This window comes from Homo sapiens, chromosome 6 (genome assembly GCF_000001405.40).
Source record: "Homo sapiens chromosome 6, GRCh38.p14 Primary Assembly".
Classification (NCBI taxonomy): Eukaryota; Metazoa; Chordata; class Mammalia; order Primates; family Hominidae; genus Homo; species Homo sapiens.
Window position 1 is genome coordinate 104497853 of NC_000006.12, and position 15775 is coordinate 104513627.

The 15775-nt window shown below is 38.1% G+C and overlaps 1 long non-coding RNA gene across 4 annotated transcripts in view; it reads right to left on the minus strand.

Moving 5' to 3' along the window:
• The window catches only part of LOC105377918 (uncharacterized), a 64633-nt gene that overhangs the window by 35013 nt on the left and 13845 nt on the right, over positions 1 to 15775 (minus strand). For 2 of the 4 annotated variants that reach the window (XR_001744272.2, XR_001744273.2), the window contains exons 2-4: positions 14440 to 14507; positions 5653 to 5749; positions 3454 to 4296 (exon numbers count right to left, since the gene is read on the minus strand). This is a non-coding gene — a long non-coding RNA (uncharacterized LOC105377918). Of the gene's footprint in view, positions 1 to 3046; positions 4297 to 5652; positions 5750 to 14439; positions 14508 to 15775 lie in introns of those variants that run through there. The other 2 variants (XR_942828.3, XR_001744271.2) reach the window with 2 other exon arrangements.

A 15775-nucleotide genomic window follows, 5' to 3' on the forward strand; every position in this document is an offset into this window, starting at 1 on the left:
AAGCATGCCAACATACAATTGCTATGCAACTCCATTCAAGCCCCTACAGTCCTATCGGAGAGAAGAAAGTTATGTATTAAATATGTCCTTTATATTAGGTCTTGCTCTACTGTGGTTCTGTCATTTGCATCTCAGATTAGCCTTGACATAAGCATTATATCTTTATTTTAAAAGAACTTAATAGGCCAGGCGTGGTGGATCACACCTGTAATCCCAGCACTTTGGGAGGCCATGGCAGGCTGATCACGAGGTCAGGAGATCGAGACCATCCTGGCTAACATGATGAAATCCCATCTCTACTAAAAATACAGAAAATTAGTCAGGCATGGTGGCAGGCACCTGTAGTCCCAGCTACTTGGGAGGCTAAGGCAGGAGAATGGTGTGAACCCAGGAGGCAGAGCTTGCAGCGAGCCAAGATCATGCCACTGCACTCAGCCTGGGTGACAGAGCAAGACTCTTGTCTCAAAAAAAAAAAAAAAAAAAGAACTTACTAGTGTACCTAGTGATAGACCTAGTAAGTGATAGAGATGGCACTTAAAGTTTTGAAAATGTGACCCAAAGCCAGGGTGTTTTGGCACTACAAAGCCTTTCCTAAGGCTCTAACTAGGCCCATTAAAAGAGCCATGTAAAGAGCCAATTCCTGCTGCCATATAACCAAAACTCTCAAACCAGCATTCTGCACCCCTTTATTTCTGACACAGAGAATCAATTCAAGAGTTAAAAACAAAAAATATATTTCCTGGACATGTAATCATATGAAGGTGGAATTGAATAATTATTTTGAAACCAAAGTAGAGTGAAGGGCAAGAGTGTAAACTCCAGTTTACTCCTGGTTCATCAGTTTTGTCTGTGAAGCAGTCTTGAATTTGCCAAATGTGGTAAGATGTGTTCTTGACAAGGCAGAAAAATATATAGCCATCTACTCAAGAAAGCAAATCTCCTGTGAGGTCCAGGTCAGTCTTTGACCCACAGGACATTTTTCTATGCTCCTGCATAGACAGGCTGAACCAAGAGAGCACAGAGGATGTCAGCAGGTGAAGTCCTTAATGTCTGAACAAGACACGGTAGTATCCCCAAGATCGCCTCTAGTAGGTGTGCTATGTGGCATCACAGTGCAATTCCCTGGGGGAAGTGCCAAGGTCAGGCTGGTTGGCCAGTTTGAAATCTGATTGCCCATCCAAATAAGGTTAGGCAAAAGAGTTCAAGGATCAAAGTCAATGTGGACAGAGATTAAGGAAAAACTGAAGAGAGAGGAAATGTGAAGCACAAGCAATGGGAAACAAAGGCTGTTTTGTTGTTTTTTTAATCTAGTGTCATAGCAGAGCCAGGGAGGATTTTAAAAACTGGCCATGGAGCAAAAACATTATTTAACCTTGCAAGCTGAAATATCCACAGGCTGTGAAAGATCAAGGAAAATAAAAAGAATATTGTTATTGCGAGAACATCACAAAGAGAGGCACCATCCTGGAGTCACCCCTGAAACAAATAACAGAATGAGCTCAATCAGTTTCTCTATAAGCCTTTGCTATTTCCTCCCCCCACACCCCCAGCACACACTCCAGGTCAAGTAGCAGATCATTTCTTTTATAAAATTCACTAGAATATGTGCCCTTTCTTTGTATTACATTTCCTCAAAACCACAAAATAAACTGTACTATGGAGTGTTTTAATTTCCTATCATCTTTGGAAAATCATGCTAATAAGATATTTAGTGAAGAGAGTAGTTGCCCAATAAGTGGCAATAATCTTTTATGAGTGCCACTGTGAACACGATGAACAAATATGTTGACCTTGAAAGTTCTAGTCTTACCACGAGTGCAAGAACAATGACACAAATATTCATTTAGATGAATGCTTACCATGCTTGGCCTTATCATTTTGAGCTACCCACATTTCAATTTCCCTAGTTATGCTCAGAAACTATAGTTTGTGATGGAAAGCAAGAGAAGGATACTGTTGCCATGGTAGCAAAAACATTTTTTTCTTCCTCAAAAATAGTATGTTAGAGACCAGTGGGGGTAAAAAATGATGCTAACTGTACTTGCAGAGAAAATTAAATTTAAATACAACTTCTTGTAATTTTATCAAGTGCTGTTTAGATATATTTTCCAGTTAAATGTGCAAGGATGCCTTACAATGGGCTTACCAGTTAAAGGACAAGTTACTTTTCTCTGCTTTGAGCAGGTTGTTCAACATGCAGAATATAACTTTTAAAATGCATGAATGAAAGGGTGCAGATTTACAATTGTATAAAAGGATATTCAAAATAAGTTTTTAAAAGCTGCCTTAGCTTAATATAGCTAATAAAAAAATGACAAACAAGCAACTAGAACAATAACAACAATAAAGAAAATGACTGTTATCCTTCTGAATTCCTTTGCCTGTCATTCAAATGGGATATTACCCTTTTCGGGACTGGCTGAATAACTCAAACTAATGTACCAACCTGTGCTGCTTACATTCCCTAGTGCATTCCATTTTGGTGTTATTACTTTTGCAGCCACTACATTGGCTTCTTGCAAAATAGAATCTCTAAAATTTTCCTGCATTCAATGAGCTGTTGAGGTTTTCTAATAAGAAAACACAACACTAATGCTGCTGTCTTAATTCTGTGCATTACTTTCCCGCCAAATTCAGAAGCATGCCGATGTCACTACAAGCAATCCATTAGAATTACAGTCACCTCTGCAGCTGTTGCTGTTATAGTTCCTACTCCTACATTGCCCATCCTCAGCATATTTTCTCTTTTATGTACTAAGATGAATGTCAGTGTTAGGTCTTCAGAGGAGCAGGTGATCTTTTTACTGCATATTCGAAAACATGTTCTTACCTCTTGTTTCTATTCCATGACAAAAATTCTAATTCAGAAATGTTCATTTTTCACACAAATGCCCTTGAGAAAATCAGCCCAAGACATGTCTTAATGTAATGATCACTTGCAAATTATCACATGTAAATGTACTTAAGATATTCCTAATTGCATTGTTTATTCTTCCTACTGTGTTCATTTTACCAATGTATTTATTGAGATTTATTTAGAAACAAATCTATTCCCAGTCTTTATTATCGTGAAGCCAGCATATTATGTGAGACATATCTCCCAAACATTTTCTACTGAACAAAGAATGAACAAACTGTTTACTGTAATACAGTGACCAATTATATTACTATTTCCTGGGAGAAATGAAAAGCACGGTCATTACAGCTCAGTTTGGCTATGGGGAAGACTTTCTGTCTGGTCAATGTTTTTCTTCAGAGCCAACACAGTGCATCACTGTCTTTTCTTTTGTGATTACAATCAAGTGCATTTACAAATACAGAGAAACCAAAATGATCTTTGGAAAATAGACATATGAGATTTATCCCAAACCAGGATCCTATAGGGCCCAAGAAAAAACAAAGCATATTTTGGTTCTCTGAGGAAGAGTCACAGTTAAAAGGAGGTCTGTTTACCTGAAGTAACTGCAACTAGAGGCAGTGAGGTAAAATCTAGGAAGGCAGTTTCCTGCAGCAGGGAGATTTCCCAAGAAGATACTATCAGGGCTTCCTAGGAATTATATAGACTGTGTCTCAAAAGATCACTCTGTCTTTCTAAAGTCATTTTCTGCTTCCCCCATTGTTATGATGTATTTATTCATTGTTGGTAATTGCACTTTGGAATGTGATTTAAAAACCATGTTTCTGCCAGGGCCTAAAAGCAGTATAGGCTCCAAGGGCATTCAAGCTTTGGCCTCATCTGTGGATGCCGTCATTGGACCTGCCAAAAATGATGCAAATAGTTAGAAACAATGGGCTATGGTACCCTTCTGCTATTAGACTATACTCAGTACTCCACAGATTATTTTTAATTTCTCCTAGAGGCTAAGGGAATACATTAGATAAATTGGGTACCAGTTGCTAAGATATCTTAAATAGGAAGAATTGTTTCTGCTGGAATTTTAGGGGATGAAGATAAATTATCTAGAATGAAAAGTGCTCGGAAAATTAGTCATATAGAAAATAAGTATACAATGTTTTCTGAAACCAAAAGGTATGTATTATCACAAAGACCAACTTACCAGATTTCACCATAACCAAACTATACCTGCTTCTACATTAAACTACGAAGAGACAAGTCAATTTCTTTTTGAAAATAACCATTTTCCCAATTGCCCATAGTGATTAGAGAGTCATGTCATGAACACAACAGATGAGACTGAAGCAGAGCTCAGGGTTAAGAAGATTCAAATATCCAGCCAGGTGCCTCTTTCCACAGTACTTTCACTGAGTTCATCTCATTTTTAGCTTTCAGTGAACCTATGAGGATGATATGATACAAGCTCATCAGTCAACAGCCATACAGAGAAGAGCCAGTAATTCAACAGGTGAAAATGTGGCCATTTATAAACCAGCTTACAGAGTTATTACTGACTCTAACTTCCCAAAGCTGGATGCATGCAACACCTGGGGAAACAATGGCCAATGAGGTAGCATTCAATTTCTCTTGTCAAGGTAGCCAAGGGTTTACCACCAGGACCAAATTTATCTTTACAACAAATCTCCAGACACATCCCTCAGATCTTGACCATCCTTAAATTTTCCCATACTGGACTTTTATCCATTTCCTATTCTATCACACACTCTCACATCGCCTTTCTTTCACTCATGCAGATTCTTGTATCAAGAATATGCTCTTCCCCAGCTTCATCTGATGAGCTCTTGTTCATTAAGGATTAGGTCAGATGTGACCTCCTGTGTGTAGCCTTCCTGGTTCATGTTATATACTTTTCTGTCACCACATTTAGCAGCTTGTATTATACAGTAGCCTATTGTTATTTTTTTCCATGGACTCTCAACTCTGTGGGTTCAAGGGCCACATCTTATTCACCTGTGTGTCCCTCATTGCACCAAGCAGTATACCTGAACCATTAGAACAAAGATGAAAAGGCCTTTCTAACAAATCAAATAGTTCTAAACAAAAAGTGGCTCTAGACAGTTGTCCTATAAGCTCTCTAGATTATATAACAGAAATAGGAACATAATTGCTTTTTGTGTTATTAATACCATTTCTAGAAAATATACTGTTAAAGCAGTAGAGATCTTTTTTCCCTAACTCTGAACTCAAAAAGCAATTTATTGTTGAAAAGAATAGCAATTGCTCAATAGAAGTTTATAAGCATGCAGAAATATTCTCCATTTGGCTATTTTAATACTCACCCTTGAGTTTAAAAAAATTCAAGGCTATATTTCAAATCATAGTCTCTTTAAAGCATTTATTCATACAGTGAGAGTAATATAGTACAGGTCTAGGATTTTCTAGTGGTCTAAATTTTAAAATGAAGTATTTATTCTGGCTTGGTTTCCTTCACAGTGACTGGCCCTTACATGAGCCAGGCCAAATACAAATGCTCTAAAAAAGACCCTATAGCTTTACTCCAGAACTTCAAGGAATCTGTCCAGCCTTTGCCTTCAACCCTCCATTTCAAACTTGTTTGTTCCATCTGGGTCTACCTGGTATTCATTCTCTTGCCTTATAACTAGTCTTCACCTCTCTGTCATTTGGCCTGTTTGCTTAGTCTCAATTCCAGTTTCACCTGGAACCCTCAACCGACCTCCAGGTCTTTTGAATCTTCCTTGGCTCCCTGCTCTAAATCTATCATAGTTGCACCATACCTTAACTTTCAGGCCCAGCTTCCAAAATATTCATGTTGAGTATGAATATTCAATATTCATTCTTCCCACACCTCCAAGGACAAAATTCAGAAGAAATCTAGAAGATGAATGATAAGCATGTTCATTTTACTTGCTTTCCTGAATTTCAATTCAATCTAGCTTAGAGCATAGGACAGTAGACTTTTCAAGAATGAAGTTGCTAATTAGTGCCCAAAATTTGGATTTCATGGTCAATTAAAGCAATTCTATTTGTTTTTAATAAGAAACACTCAGAAATAGTTTTGTTTATGTTATAATAATCAAAGTAATGGATTTGTGTTGCTGTCCTGATTGAGATTATATTGTTGCTCAAATCATATCAAACCAGACTAGAGATAAAACTGCAGAAAAAAGCTAAAAAAATTATTCAAGATTTTTCAAATCCAAAATGAACCACCAAGCACTAGGTAAAAGTCCTGGGACAAGAGCCAGAAGCAAGGAAGAGATTGTTTTGATCCAGAATCTCTAACCATTTGATATGGTTTGGCTGTGTCCCACCCAAATCTCAAATTGTAGCTCCCATAATTTGGATATGGGAGGTAATTGAATCATAAGGGAGGGTCTTTCCTGTGCTGTTCTCATGATAGTGAATAAGTCTCATGAGATCTGATGGTTTTATAAAGGGGGGTTCCCCTGCACATGCTCTTTGTCTTGCCTGCCACAATGTAACACATGACTTTGCTCCTCCTTTGCCTTCTGCCCTGATTGTGAGTCCTCCCCAGCCACATGGAACCATAAGTCCCTTGAGCCTCTTTTTCTTTATAAATTTTCTAGTCTCTGGTATGTCTTTATCAGCAGTGTGAGAACAGACTAATACACCATTTCTCTAGAATGCTTGACTTTTTTTTAATTGGGTGCCCCTAATAGGCATACTGATTTACAAAATGCAAAATATATTCCCAGTTAGCTAAAAGCATCAACCTGGTGAGGGTTATATTGACTGTTGTGGACACAATTGCCAAAACATCTCTCAAAATGTCTCAAGTTTTGGCATGGCTGGTTGTGGGGTGAGCTTTGATCCCAATCTACCAACAGCCAGACACTTCCTGATGCTACTCCTAGCAGACAGCCAAAAGAGACTTGCCTTTCCATTTTCTATGGTAAAATTATATGCATTTTACTATATCATTGATACCTATTCTAACCAAGGTCTTAATCAATTTTTTAATTCCTGGTCTGTGACTAGATAAATACAGAAACTGAGAGTAATCATTTAGAAACTCACACGGCAATCTGACACTGCTACAACATCCAGCATTTCATTTTTCTACTAATTCATTTTTATCATATTTTTAATGACCGTCTGCCTAGATTATAAATTTTAAAAAGAAAGAAACTGTCTCTTAAGCATAGATAATTTGAAAAGCTCTAATCTAAGCCATTTGGCCATCTTAACCGGATGTCCTTCGAGACTGTCAAGGGAAACAGTGGACACTCTCATGGGGAAGCTGAGTTATATACTTCAAAGCACAATTCAGTAAAATCCAGATTCCAAAGGGATGAAATAAATAGTCTCTGGTACAAGCTCTTTGATGACTTGGCTTAATCCACATATAAAATTTGGATATGCAGGTGTTGGCAGACTAAGTCTTGTCACCTGTTTTTGGAAATACACTTTTTTGGAACACTGCCACACTCATTTGTTTACATATTGTCCAAGGCTGCTTTCAAGAGTTGAGTAGTGATGACAGAGACCATTTGGCCCACAAAGCCTAAAATATTTACCATATGACCCATTACAGAAAAAGTTTGCCAGTCTCTGATCTAGTAGATATATAGACTGCTATCATTAGTTCTCTAAAACCGAGTTTGGAAAGCACAGAGTTCAAAGTCATATTTTCAGAAAGTATATGCAAAACAGATGCATTGTCAGTGTAGGGCAGATCCGTATAATTTGATGACACGTATGTGGAAAGGCAGTGTTGATAACCTCTGTTTCAGCCTAGCCATTGAAAGTTTATTTTTTCACTCTATGTATAACCCCTGAATAAACTTGTAGATTTAAAAGCCTTATATAGGTAGTTAGCTCTACCAATTAAATGTCTAGTCCATATTTTTATCTTATATATAGAATTAAACCCAAGTGACTAATGAACCTGAAGATGTAGAATGAAAGACCGCAGAGAAATGGAATCCAACAGTCAGAGTAGAATGTAAACAGTTCTGACAAGAAGAACTTGAGGTGATTAATTAAATGTGTCACTAGAGTCTTGATTTACCTAACACAGGGTGAACTTCACACAGTCAAGATAAATACAAACAAAGCCTTAAATTGTTGATATTTTTATAACAATCCACATTAGTTAAGGGAAAACATAAACCCAAACATCTCAGCAGTTCAACATAAGAAAAGTTTATTTCTCACCCATGAAAGAGTCTGATATAAATGTTCTTAGTCAGCGAGCAGCTTTTCACTCTGTGGTGATTTAGGGACCAGGCTCCTTCCATGATCACAGAAGTACATGCATGAATGGTTCCAGGAATGAAAATTGCCCGCATCACTTCCACACATGGCCATACCTGACAGCAAGGGAGTCTGGGAAATGCAGTCCAACTGTGAACCCAGACTGTAAACAGTTAGCCAAGCTCTTCCATACCCACTTAAATGTGGAACCTAATTTAACTTTACTGTGTTTGTCTGAAAGATGCCAGCAATTTTCCAGGGAATTAAATCAAGAAACATCTCCAGAAGGTATGCTAATATTACTAGAATATGCAGGGATGAAATTTTACTCTATGGACTCTAAACATTTCATCCAAAACAGTGGTTGTGTGTATGCTAACCCTATCTCCCAGTTGGGCAACTCAGAATATGTCTTAGCTGCCCTCTTTCATATTTTACACCTGGCATTATATTTACCTGCAGAATTTAACTCTTTTAACAAATTCTAGCAAGGCTGGTAGATCTGCCATTAGTGAATCAAAGTGAAAAACTGTGATCCCCAACAAATAAGCCCCAGGGTCACTGCAACTATTGTGTTGTCCAAGACTTACAGACCCTGCCAGCTTAATAGAGATGCTCTTTGCTCTGGCTCTTGTCCTCTTTGTAATTAATCAATGTTTAATGCCTCAGCAAGGTCCTAAGCAGATTACCACAGCCTTATCTTTTAGTGTCAGGATAGCCGTTTACTTCAGCTGAACAAAATGCTTAGATTCCTCTGATGGACCAGGGCCAGGCTTGCTGTAGGCCCAATGATGCATTAGGAAACAGGACATGAAAGTGTATCACTGTGGCACAGCTAGGTTTGTCTTATATGGTGATGGGTAGACCCTAGCATGCTAAGATGAGACATCCATAGGCCTAATAGCACAGAAGCAGTAAGTACACAGCCCTGGCCTTCTTTGACCTGGAAAATTTCTCTTTCCATGAGGACTTCATTGACCACTGAATTGTGGACTCACCTCCAGAAGGAAACAAGGAGGCACCTGGGAGCTGAGTCTACTCATTCACCTGTATTATTATCTCATACATCCTTTGCTTGTTTGTTATTTCAATAAAAAAAAACTGAGATGGAGACAATTTAAGCTGAGTCCTCTTTATCATTCTTCCAAACCTGCTAGCCCAGCACAAACGTGAAGAGTCTGGTCTAGCTCAGGTCCTTTATATACTTAACTCTAGCTTCTCCCACAAGCTCCCAGCCCCTGTCATCACCAGTCTGCTAGGTTTTTCCACTAGGATGTCCTACAACACATCATGCCTGACTTGCCAGCTTCTGTGCCATGTTATTCTCTATCAGAACTTAATTAATGGTGCTATCATTTTTCCAGCCACCCAGTCTTAGAACAAAAGTCATATTATCCTCCTCTTTGTCCTTGGTCCTTTTGCATTCCAGCAACCACCAAGCTAAACTGATCCTTCTGAATCCTTCAGAGAGCTAAGTTACAAGAAGCTGAATTAACTCTGGTTAGTTTCAATAGAATCATAATTTGCTCAGTGATGCTGAGTAACTCACAGAATGTTTGGGAAAGCAAAAGAATGAGACCAGAGAACCAAGAACAGTTCTTAAATTGTGCACGCTGCACACATCCTAGCAGGATGCAACTGCCACCACCTCAAGGCATAGTTCCAGCAGCTCACACAAACACCCTCTGGGCCCAGAGTGCTGCCGCCAGAACTCTAGAACTATCATTTCTATGTGATACCTCTGGGAAGTGGGTACAGATCCCTCCACTACTGCTACTACTGCTACTGTCACCCTTACCAGAATGGATCCTATACCATCCTTATCTCTTCATGTCACTAATGTTCAGTTTAATGTCTTGGGTGGATGGATCTGATCAGTGGAGCTCAGTCTTCATGACTGAGCCACAGGAGCATTGAAAACATAAGAAACAGGTTCAGCTGCTATGTGTCTGAGGCAGGTACTAGGTATTCAGCACTCAGTCTAACCCCCTTCTGTCTTCTAAACCTTACTTGCTTAGAAACCCTTACAGCAACACCATTCTGGCCAGGAAAATGGAAGCAGTACGATCTCTTCCACTTTCTCCTCCTTTTTGTCCATTATGAGGCTGGCTCTTGGTAGGGCATTGGTCACATGTATGTTGGTGTTATGTTCACATAATACCAAATCTGGAAACTGAAAGTGGAAAATATGAACTTAGCTCACTGACAACTAGGAAGCTGCTGACCTTTAATATGTACTGGGGTGACCTACTATTAGGGTGGTGCAAAAGTAATTGCAGTTTTTGCTATTCCTTTTAATAGTGAAAACCCGCAATTACTTTTGCACCAACCTAATAGATGCTAAATGCAGAGCAGGCATCACTGAGGGTGGTAGTGTTAGAAGGTATGGAGGAAAATTCTTCATAAAGTTGGCATCTGCTGTCTCCTTGCTATTTTCAGCCATGTCCTAAAAGAAAAGGATGAACCAGAGTGGAACTACCAGTCTGCAAACAGAGATGGAAGGAAATACAACTTTGTTAAAGGAGATGCTTTTTGTCTGAAGCCCACAATCCTAGCTTCATTAAGAAACTCACAACACGGGGTCCTGCATATTGAAAGAGATAAGTCTCTTGAACCCTGACATATAATTGTTATAAGCAATGGCTGGGAAGGGGCAGGCCCCCGCAGTCGATAGCTCTGGGGCCCCATGGTTTTCTCAAGCATGACAAAGGACAGCATAACCTGGTTCCTTGACTGCATTTTTGAGGAACCACCCTGCTCTCCAGACTTCCAGACTTCTTACTGCATGAGATAAATAAGCCCCTATTTGGTCTAGGTTGCTCTTATATACAGTTGATAGTCCTACTGATGCAGGGCCAACAAGAATGACAAATGTCCATAAACCATCTTATGAAATATCCCTCACATACATTCCTACCATTCTATCCCAGCTGCTTTGCCCTGGGCCAGATCCTTCTGGATCTCAGCTTACAACCAATCTGTTAGTTCCCTGCCTGTTCCTTCATTCTGTAATGTGTTTGTCGCCATAATGGATCCTCAGCCCCTTAAAACAATGCCTAACACATAATAGGTAATCTTTACATGTTTGTTGCAGATGGAAGATGAACAAGTGGATATAGTGCTAGCCAAAGAATCAGAAAATTATGCACCAACCCCACCTGGGAAGTTCAGCTGCATAAACTGCATGAAATGACTCTGGTAATACTTCTGGATTTTTGTGTTTTTTAATCTGGATCTGGAAGAGTCATCTATCTGTTGCCTATCTGACAAAAGGTATGTGTAAAAGTCCTTTCAAAACTACAAAGCATTACAAGAGTATTATTTTGGTCATCCATGTAAGAAATTGCATAGAGCCCCAAATTAAGTTGAAAATAAAACAACAGCAATTTAGAAAACATTACCACCTATATAATCTACTATCAGGTAGAATATTCAGAAAGAGTATTGAAAGATATTATAAATGTAATCACCATTTAATTTTCAATGTTAAGACATGATCAAAAGATAATAGTTCAGGAGGCGGAAATGATATCTGCTACTTATATTGTCATAACATAATATTTACTCTATAATTGCATGATCAATATTTACTCGGTGATTATATAGCTTTTCACATGGTTGCTTGGACCCAATAAAATAAAGGAAAAGCAGTTATCTTTATTGTCCCAGGGGCAGATTTGACGAAGATAAACTTTCTGGATGATCTTCCTTATTGGCTTATTTTACCCTGAAAATCACTATTATTTTCAACCCACAAGCAGCTTTTGTGGCATAAGCTTTCATTTGTGAATCTCACAGATTTCAAAGTCAATCCCTCAAAGTCAATGCCCAGGAGAAAGGGGTTACCCCTTTCTCTGAAATTCCTTCTATCTGTCTGCACTCCCAATATACAGAACAGTATTTTTCTAGATAAATAATAATGCTTGCATTTTTAAACTCGTCACATAATGTGATTGAAGATAAAAAACAAAGTATTTGAGGCTGCCTCCAAATCCCAAATCCCAAAATTCTGAAAGGACTTACACATTTGTGGTTCTCTAAAACTATGTGTCTCACAGATTATGGGAAGAGATGCCTTAAAATGTGTTTTTATTTTTTAGCTTTGCATTGTGAAAACATCCCTTGTAAATTCACTGGAGGTTTATTAAGGGATGTTGGGACCATTATTTACTTTTAGAAGATGAAAGGGTCTGCAAAGTGAAAAAAATCAAGTGGCTTCTGAGAGGCACCTTAGAATACAAAATATTTCCAATCTGAAATGTGCCATCGTTATCAACTGATGTCATATTTATTGTTTGGTATGTATAGTGAAATTTACTACTCTTGAATTTTGGAAGCCATCTGCTCAACTTAAGGCACTTTAGGAATTCTAGAACTAAAGTAACTAAATTTGGATTAACAAAACTGAAAGAAATCTTTTCAAAGGAGGGGAGTTCAGACAAGAAGGAAAAAGAATACTGTAAAGCTTCTATGCACATGAAAACCCAGTTCTGTACTCAGTAGACTTGAATTAAAGGAAAAAAAAGATTTAATTGCTTGAGTCTAATTTGGAATATTATTGCATCTTGCTACATTCAATAAATCTACATATTTTATGATCACGCTAATTGTTTCTGTTTATGAGATGGGCAGAGTAAAACAGTTCAATATTCGATGAAAAATACAGCCTAATGGCATATATGACATCATGTTTATTGTTGAAATAAGAGCAAATAATATATATACCGCTAATGGCCAATGATTAAATTTCCTTCATATAAAAAAAAGCTAACTGGTATTGATCACAGAACTATTTGTATGCTTCAATGACACTTACCAAAGATATGTGCTTAAAAAGGCTAAAAGTTGGTCCTAAACCAATCTCTTATCACAATAATCACAGCAGAATTAAAGATCTGCAACACCAATGCACCATCTGTATTCCTATAGTCATTTATTTATTACTCATACTCCGTTTATTTCCAAAAAGGAAACAAAGCAGAGTAAGAGAAGCTGCGCATACACAAGCGCATGTGTGTGTATGTGTGTGATGTACACATATTGGGGCAGAGGGAAAAAGGAGATTGTAAGAGGCTATGGAGTTCTGCCTATGAATTGAGTGTAGCGAAATAATTATATTTCTTTCAGAAAGGCAAAAACGGAAGCATAATGATTTATAAAACTTTTACTTTATTAAAAGATTTTAAAACATAAAAGTGTGTTACCAGAGGAATTAATAGATAACATGTACAATCACCAATCACCTAGCACAAACTCTAGCAAATACTAGACTCAATATATACTAGTTCATTCATCCACTCATTCAGCAAATACTTATGTGGCAACTACCATGAGCCAGGTATACTCCTGCTAAATGGGAATTCAATATCCAAATAAATTTGTCACCTGTATTTTTAGGGAAGAAAAAAGAAAATGTTAATGATTAAGCCTCAAATGTAAGTTTACAAAAGACTCAGAGGCTTCCTTATGCCCATCTTTTATAAAAGTCAGAGACATCGTGTGAAATCCTGATTCTGTGAAGGCATTTCTACCTACAGCTGAAGTATTGCAGTCCAGACATGAAGGTTTCTAGATCTCCTACTAGACCCAGTGTGACAGCTGAGAGAGTCTATTCTGCAGAAATAGATGCTAGGCATGAAGCCACTGAAGAGAGCTCCCAGCATTGATCTTCTGGCCCTTTTCTTGAAGTTCAGTTGCTTTGGATTGCTGACTGAAATATCAGTTTGCTTTAGATACCAGCAACAGACATGGAGGTGTGATTTAAAAGCCTCCTTACCAGAAATATCTTTCTAGTTATGAGCCACCTGAAACATGAAACTCTACTATAGGAGATTTATTAGAGTGGAATAGAAATCATGTTTTTCAAGCATTCTTTCTGGAATTTCAATTATGGTACTTCTTATACATAGTCTGTTTGCCTTTCTTTAATAGACAAAAGCATGTTTTGCTTCCTATACCATAACCCCAGTACCTAGCACAATGCCAAGCATATAGAAGGGAGTCAATGAATATTTATAGTGTGAATGAGTAAGTATGCAATTACCAAAGGTGAAACTCCTTAACAAATGGCAGAGATCCACCCACAGAGTGCCAGGGACAATATGAACATTATTTTGTCAGATACACCCTTGTCCTAATGGAGTCCTATCAATGTACCTTCCAGCAGCACCAAACTGCCTTCAGAAAGGGCATTAGACCTGTTTGGGCACTCGAACAAATTTGTCATTAAAGCCCTAGAGCCGGACAATACAAAGCATGAAAAATATTACCTTTTCCTGGAGAAGTTGAAAGCAGGTATTATCAATCATTTATTTCTACTATAAAACAATCATCATACAACTCACCCTGAACTTTCATGGGCCCCCTGGAAGACTGGCCACCAAATGCATTCCTGACCATTAAATCAATTTACCTGTGAAATGAAATAGTTTGTTTAGATTCCTTTGTCTTAGACAAGACTAAGAAAGAAAGGGCCAAAGAGTCTAAAACATATTATCCATCTCCTGGCTTAGTGAAAATTAGGGCATCTAATTAAAAGTGAATTTTTATTCTGTATCCTAATGCCAACTTACAATAACTCATCATTTAACTACATTTAACAAATTTAAAAAAAAATTTAGTGCCTACTAGGTGCTACAAAGATTTTTTAAAAACTAAGAGCCTCCATTTTAAAGGACCTAATAATATGAAGGAGTTATTTCCCACTGTTGTGACAATGCAAGAAAACAGATGTTTGGGAATTTCTGGTCTCATCGAAAAAATAAGGCAAATCCACAAGAAACAGTCAAATGAGGTAGAAATACACTGTCAAAAGAGAGGTATCAACTAACTATTTTATGAATCATCTTTTTTAGGATTTTTGTGACATTTTTAAAAGACACTTAAGCAGAGAGATAGAATTATTATTTTTATTAAAAATAAAATATGAGGCCAGGCACAGTGGCTCACGCCTGTAATCCCAGCACTTTGGGAGGCTGAGGCAGGCGGATCATGAGGTCAGGAGATCGAGACCATCCTGGCTAATATGGTGAAACCCCGTCTCTACTAAAAATAAAAAAAAAAAAATTAGCTGGGCGTGGTGGTGGTTGCCTGTAGTCCCAGCTACTGGGGAGGCTGAGGCAGGAGAATGGTGTGAACCTGGGAGGCGGAGCTTGCAGTGAGCCAAGATCGCACCACTGCACTGCAGCCTGGGTGACAGAGTGAGACTCCATCTCAAAAAATAAATAAATAAATATGCAAATGCTAAAGGCTTAAAATAAAAGATAGCACTGGCTTGCCCCACTACATGGTCTTATGTCACTTATGTCACAGGGCAGTGACTTTTTCTTGGAGCTAAATTATAATTCTGATCTCCCTATTTCTAAATAATTATGTTAAACTATGTCCTGGTTTGGCAAGTTTAGACAACACCCATTAATTCCCTTTATGGTAGATGAGAATTTAGCTCTTGCCCCACTACCATATTTCTCTTTCCAATTTTCTCAGGTCAGTTATTTCATAACATTTTGTTAAGTTAATTGCTATGGTTTGAATATGGTTTGTTTGGCCCTGTCAAGTCTTATGTTGAAATTTGATCCCCGGTGTTACAGGTGGGGCCTGGGGGGAGGTGTTTGAGTTATGGGGCAGATCCCACATGAATGGCTTGGTGCCTTCCTTGCAGTAATGAGTGAGTTCTTGTTC